Consider the following 7,687-nt stretch of genomic DNA (forward strand, 5'->3'; position numbering starts at 1 on the left):
TATGTTTTGCTTATCATAAGGTTTATGTGTGAAGTCACATTATCCCTAATTTTCTACCCTCCAGAGGACTAAAAACCCAGCCCTATCTTCTGAATTATTCCTTCCCTCCACCTAAGTTGTATAGGCCACTTAGCACCATGAGGATTTCTAAACTTTGAAAAGTAATGGCCTTGTTTTTTTCAGAAGAAAGCGATTTTATTATGATAGACCATTTTTTTCTAATACAATAATGAAACACTACTTATTTGTGTTAATGATACCAAGTTGAGTCTTCTACTCATCTGGGGCTTTGCTGATGCTAAGCACTGTTATGTATTGTTAAAAATGAAGCTTCTGTCTTTCCAAGAATTTGTCCTAGGCTCTAGCTAACTGCTAACTCAGTTGAAGTGGTATTGTATTTGGTGGTGACTATATCTTGTGCATTGGTTTGTATATTTAGTTTATTTATTCAACAGGGATCTGTTGTTCAATGTGGTTGATTTAAATTCCAAGCTTTAATTTTGTAATTTAAACAACATACATACACATGTGTGCTTGTAAAGACAGAAGTCTGCTATTGGTCAGAATCATATAGACTGTGTCACAGATAAGGAAGCACCTGCTACTGGTTGCTTCATTACTATGGAGAAGACCTTGCCAAGTAAGTGAAACAAGTAACGGATGGGTTTAGGATGCAGATTTGCCACTATTGCACAGGAGAAATCCCAGGTTCTATGTGGACGATGGGAATTTGGATTGAGCTGATAAGGGTCAGTCTAGGAAAAGTTCCCCTAACATTCTTCAGATTTTTCTTATTGCATACTTCACAACTTGTCTCAATTATTGGTCGAATCTATTTTTTTCTTCCTGATTTGAGATCCCATCTTTATCAAGTGCTGTATTTCCATTAATTCATTCAATAAATGTGTAGTGAGTCTTGCATCTGGAGATATAACAGTGAAGAAGACCTAAAAAGTGCTTTCTTTCAAAGAGCTTACATTTGATCTGGGGTAAAGGGGTGCAAAAATATGGAGGAGACAAACAATAAATAGAACTTTAGGTAATGATGACTGCCTTAGTGAAAACAAAATGGGATATTGTGAGAAAGTAACTACAGTGAGTGACTACTTAAGACTGGGTGGTAAGGGGGGGCTTTCTCAGATGGTATCATTTAAGGTGAAACATGAATGACAGAAGGGACCCGGCCTTTCAAAAACCTGGTATAAGAGTATTTCAGATGCTAAGGCAAGAGTAAGCTTGGTGAGGGTGGTACTAGAGTGCTAAGAAGTGAGATCCGGCCAGGCGCGGTGACTCACGCCTGTAATCCCAGCACTTTGGGAGGCTGAGACAGGCAGATCATGAGGTCAGGAGATCGAGACCATCTGGCTAACACGGTGAAACCCCGTCTCTACTAAAAATACAAAAAAAAATTAGCTGGGCGTGGTGGCGGGCGCCTGTAGTCCCAGCTACTGCGGGGTGGGGGCTGAGGCAGGAGAATGGCGTGAACCTGGGAGGCGGAGCTTGCAGTGAGTGGAGATCGCACCACTGCACTCCAGCCTGGGCGACAGAGCGAGACTCTGTCTCAAAAAAAAAAAAAAAGAATTGAGATCCAAGAGATAGAGAGGGATTGGGTCTCATAGAGCTATGGGAATTCAGGTGAGGATTTGAGATAGAAGGGAGACATCTGGATTATGGGGAGGCAAGAAGATCCTCAGGAGACCTTTTGGGGTAGTCTAAGTGAAAGATGATGAGGGCCAGGGAAGTGAAGACAGAGATAAATAGATTTAAGACACAACAGGGCAGGATTTGATAAAGTTGACAGGAATCTTCAATTATTAAATGTAGAAGGTAAGTTAAGAAAGGGATATAATACTTCTAAGGTTTTGGTTTGAGTAACTGTGGGGATAGTAGTGAAATTGACAGAAATGGGGAAGAACATAAGAACATGTTTTTGGGAGCTGCAAATCAAGAATTCTGTTTTGCACATGTTAAGTGTGAGATGTTCATTGTACATCTATATGAGTGTGTCAGATAAACAGTCGGGTAAAGGGCCAGAGTTCAGGAAAGGAGCAGGCATGGCGATGAATTTGGAAGTCCTAGTGATATAGATGGTAATTACAGCCACAGTACTGGATGCTGAATGAAATAGATAAGAGGGATTCCAGGACACACCTGTGGGTCAGCCCATTTGTCTGGGCCTTCTGTTATTCTGGGTTACCTCTAATCACTAGCTAAATTTCTTGACATTATTTCTTTTGGATCTTTATGCGTATATTTACCTTTCACCTGATTAAAAAACCTGCAGAAGCTTTGCATGGCACGTCAACATCTCCTGCAATTTCAGGGCTCTTTATAACCTGGCCTTCCATAATCTAGCCCTTTTCCATCTTAGCCAATCATCCTGACATCCTCTGTGGATACACTTCCTTGTGTTTGAGCCTGTTACGTGTCTTTCATCTTTTTCTGTTGTCTTAGAGTTGAATTTAGATTCCACTTTCCTCATGAAACATTTGACTTCTTCAGTCTAAACAGACCACTCACATCTCTAAACTATTACTGTAGTTACAGTCTTACATTTAAATACTTATTATTTTTTATTTTCACAGATTATAATAAACATGCTTTCTTTTCAGTCCAAAAGAAAAGTTATTTGAATAAAATATACATGTGGCTTACAATCATACATAGAAAAGCTCAATATCACTGATCATTAGAGAAATGCAAATCAAAATAACAATGAAAAACTCTATATCTAAATGGCCTAAGCATCCTTTAAAAAGGCAGAAATGGTTGGAATAGGTTAAAAACAACAAAACTACATGCTGCTTTTAAGAAATGAATTTTAAACATAAATTCACAAATAGTATAGACAAACATGAAAAAGATATGGCATGCTCATCTTAAAAGGAAGCTGGAGCAGCTATGTTAATAACAGGCAAAGTAGATTTCAGAGCAAAGAATATTGCTAGAGGTAAAGAAAGAAAAATGATATAATCATCTCAATCGATGCAGAAAGGCATTTGATAACATTTAACATCAATTCCTGCAAACAGTATTAGAAAGCATCTTCCTGAATCTAATCAAGGACATATACAGATAAAAGCTACAGTTAACAGCAGCTGACATTATTCTTAATAGTCAAAGAATGAATGCATTCCCCCTATGGTTAAAAAAAATGGATGCCTCTGTTCTATTCAATAGTATTGGAGTTTCTAGCCAATGCAATAAGGAAAGCAGAAGAAATAAAATACATGGAGAATGGCAGGAAGAAGTAAAACTGTCTTTATTTGCAGATTATGTGATTGTTTACATAGAAAATCCCATGGAATTTACAAACAGGCTGCCTGGCTTAGTGTTAAAGGCGTGCCCAACACATACCCAGAGGCCCTTGGCAAAAACTGGGAAACTTCGCTTCCCAGTGCTAAGGGAAATCTCTCCAGTCATTTGCTGACCACTAAGCGAACTGACCCAGGACTTCATTACAACAAAAAATACAGACTTTACAGATTTAGTTCAGAAATATTACTAAAACGATGCTAAATAATCACAGTAACAAAACCTGGGGCAGGTGGGCAAATCTGATTTCCAGAGTTGCCATGTAATTTAAAGTGTCCAGTTTCCAACAAAAATATATTAAGAAGCATGCAAGTAAATAAGAATATATGGCCCAAAAGGGGAAAAGCAGTCAGTAGAGAACTATTCTTGAGGAAATGCAGACATTGGACTGACTAGACAAAGACTAAGTTGGCTATTTTAAATCAGTTATTTCAAAGAGTTAAAGGAAACCATGTCAGAAGAACTATAGGAAAGTATGAGGGCAGTGTCTCACAAAATAGTAAATATTGGATCAGGAAAAATAATTAATCAGTACTAGGCCTAATACCTGGGTGATGAAATAATCTGTACAACAAACCCCCATGACATAAATTTACCTATGTAACAAATCTGCACATGTACCCCTGAATTTAAAGTTTAAAAAAAAGAAATAGAAAATATTTTTTAAAAAGAATAAAATAGAAAATCTGGAATGGACAAGCACAATAAATGAAATTAAAAATTCACTAGATGGGCTAAATAGCAGAGTTGAACAGTCAGAAAAAGAATTAGGGAACTTAAAGTTAGCTCAGTTAAGATTATATAATTAGAGATGATGGCCAAATAGGAACAGCTCCAGTCTACAGCTCCCAGCAGGAGCGACGCAGAAGACGGGTGATTTCTGCATTTCCATCTGAGGTACCGGGTTCATCTCACTAGGGAGTGCCAGACAGTGGGTGCGCGCACCATGCGCGAGCCAAAGCAGGGCAAGGCATTGCCTCACTCGGGAAGTGCAAGGGGTCAGGGAATTCCCTTTCCTACTCAAAGAAAGGGGTGACAGATGGCACCTGGAAAATCGGGTCACTCCCACCCGAATACTGCGCTTTTCCGAAGGGCTTAAAAAACTGCACACCAGGAGATTATATCCCGCACCTGGCTCGGAGGGTCCTACGCCCACGGAGTCTCCCTGATTGCTAGCACAGCAGTCTGAAATCAAACTGCAAGGTGACAGCGAGGCTGGGGGAGGGGTGCCCGCCATTGCCCAGGCTTGCTTAGGTAAACAAAGCAGCCGGGAAGCTCGAACTGGGTGGAGCCCACCACAGCTCAAGGAGGCCTGCCTGCCTCTGTAGGCTCCACCTCTGGGGGCAGGGCACAGACAAACAAAAAGACAACTGTAACCTCTGCAGACTTAAATGTTCCTGTCTGACAGCTTTGAAGAGAGCAGTGGTTCTCCCAGCACGCAGCTGGAGATCTGAGAACGGGCAGACTGCCTCCTCAAGTGGGTCCCTGACCCCTGACCCCCGAGCAGCCTAACTGGGAGGCACCCCCCAGCAGAGGCAGACTGGCACCTCACACGGCCGGGTACTCCAACAGACCTGCAGCTGAGGGTCCTGTCTGTTAGAAGGAAAACTAACAAACAGAAAGGACATCCACACCAAAAACCCATCTGTACATCACCATCATCAAAGACCAAAAGTAGATAAAACCACAAAGATGGGGAAAAAACAGAGCAGAAAAACTGGAAACTCTAAAAAGCAGAGCGCCTCTCCTCCTCCAAAGGAACGCAGTTCCTCACCAGCAACGGAACAAAGCTGGACAGAGAATGACTTTGACGAGCTGAGAGAAGAAGGCTTCAGACGATCAAATTACTCCGAGCTATGGGAGGACATTCAAACCAAAGGCAAAGAAGTTGAAAACTTTGAAAAAAATTTAGAAGAATGTATAACTAGAATAACCAATACAGAGAAGTGCTTAAAGGAGCTGATGGAGCTGAAAACCAAGGCTCGAGAACTACGTGAAGAATGCAGAAGCCTCAGGAGCTGATACGATCAACTGGAAGAAAGGGTATCAGCGATGGAAGATGAAATGAATGAAATGAAGTGAGAAGGGAAGTTTAGAGAAAGAAGAATAAAAAGAAATGAGCAAATCCTCCAAGAAATATGGGACTATGTGAAAAGACCAAATCTACGTCTGATTGGTGTACCTGAAAGTGACGGGGAGAATGCAACCAAGTTGGAAAACACTCTTCAGGATATTATTCAGGAGAACTTCCCCAATCTAGCAAGGCAGGCCAACATTCAGATTCAGGAAACACAGAGAACGCCACAAAGATACTCCTCGAGAAGAACAACTCCAAGACACATAGTTGTCAGATTCACCAAAGTTGAAATGAATGAAAAAATGTTAAGGGCAGCCAGAGAGAAAGGTCGGGTTACCCTCAAAGGGAAGCCCATCAGACTAACAGCGGATCTCTCAGCAGAAACTCTACAAGCCAGAAGAGAGTGGGGGCCAATATTCAACATTCTTAAAGAAAAGAATTTTCAACCCAGATTTTCATATCCAGCCAAACTAAGCTTCATAAGTGAAGGAGAAATAAAATACTTTACAGACAAGCAAATGCTGAGAGATTTTGTCACCACCAGGCCTGCCCTAAAAGAGCTCCTGAAGGAAGCGCTAAACATGGAAAGGAACAACCGGTACCAGCCGCTGCAAAATCATGCCAAAATGTAAAGACCATCGAGACTAGGAAGAAACTGCATCAACTAACGAGCAAAATAACCAGCTAACATCATAATGACATGATCAGATTCACACATAACAATATTAACTTTAAATGTAAATGGACTAAATGCTCCAATTAAAAGACACAGACTGGCAAATTGGATAAAGTCAAGACCCATCAGTGTGCTGTATTCAGGAGACCCATCTCACGTGCAGAGACACACATAGGCTCAAAATAAAAGGATGGAGGAAGATCTACCAAGCAAATGGAAAACAAAAAAAGGCAGGGGTTGCAATCCTAGTCTCTGATAAAACAGACTTTAAACCAACAAAGATCAAAAGAGACAAAGAAGGCCATTACATAATGGTAAAGGGATCAATTCAACAAGAAGAGCTAACTATCCTAAATATATATGCACCTGATACAGGAGCACCCAGATTCATAAAGCAAGTCCTTAGAGACCTACAAAGAGACTTAGACTCCCACACATTAATAATGGGAGACTTTAACACCCCACTGTCAACATTAGACAGATCAATGAGACAGAAAGTCAACAAGGATACCCAGGAATTGAACTCAGCTCTGCACCAAGCAGACCTAATAGACATCTACAGAACTCTCCATGCCAAATCAACAGAATATACATTTTTTTCAGCACCACACCACACCTATTCCAAAATTGACCACATACTTGGAAGTAAAGCTCTCCTCAGCAAATGTAAAAGAACAGAAATTATAACAAACTATCTCTCAGACCACAGTGCAATCAAACTAGAACTCAGGATTAAGAATCTCACTCAAAACCGCTCAACTACATGGAAAGTGAACAACCTGCTCCTGAATGACTACTGGGTACATAACGAAATGAAGGCAGAAATAAAGATGTTCTTTGAAACCAACAAGAACAAAGACACAACATACCAGAATCTCTGGGACACATTCAAAGCAGTGTGTAGAGGGAAATTTATAGCACTAAATGCCCACAAGAGAAAGCAGGAAAGATCCAAAATTGACACCCTAACATCACAATTAAAAGAACCAGAAAAGCAAGAGCAAACACATTTAAAAGCTAGCAGAAGGCAAGAAATAACTAAAATCAGAGCAGAACTGAAGGAAATAGAGTCACAAAAAACCCTTCAAAAAATTAATGAATCTAGGAGCTGGTTTTTTGAAAGGATCAACAAAATTGATAGACCGCTAGCAAGACTAATAAAGAAAAAAAGAGAGAAGAATCAAATAGACGCAATAAAAAATGATAAAGGGGATATCACCACCGATCCCACAGAAATACAAACTACCATCAGAGAATACTACAAACACCTCTACGCAAATAAACTAGAAAATCTAGAAGAAATGGATAAATTCCTTGACACATACACCCTCCCAAGACTAAACCAGGAAGAAGTTGAATCTCTGAATAGACCAATAACAGGCTCTGAAATTGTGGCAATAATCAATAGCTTACCAACCAAAAAGAGTCCAGGACCACATGGATTCACAGCCGAATTCTACTAGAGGTACAAGGAGGAACTGGTACCATTCCTTCTGAAACTATTCCAATCAATAGAAAAAGAGGGAATCCTCCCTAACTCATTTTATGAGGCCAGCATCATCCTGATACCAAAGCCGGGCAGAGACACAACCAAAAAAGAGAATTTTAGACCAATATCC

The sequence above is a fragment of the Homo sapiens genome, chromosome 16 (assembly GCF_000001405.40).
Source record: "Homo sapiens chromosome 16, GRCh38.p14 Primary Assembly".
NCBI lineage: Eukaryota > Metazoa > Chordata > Mammalia > Primates > Hominidae > Homo > Homo sapiens.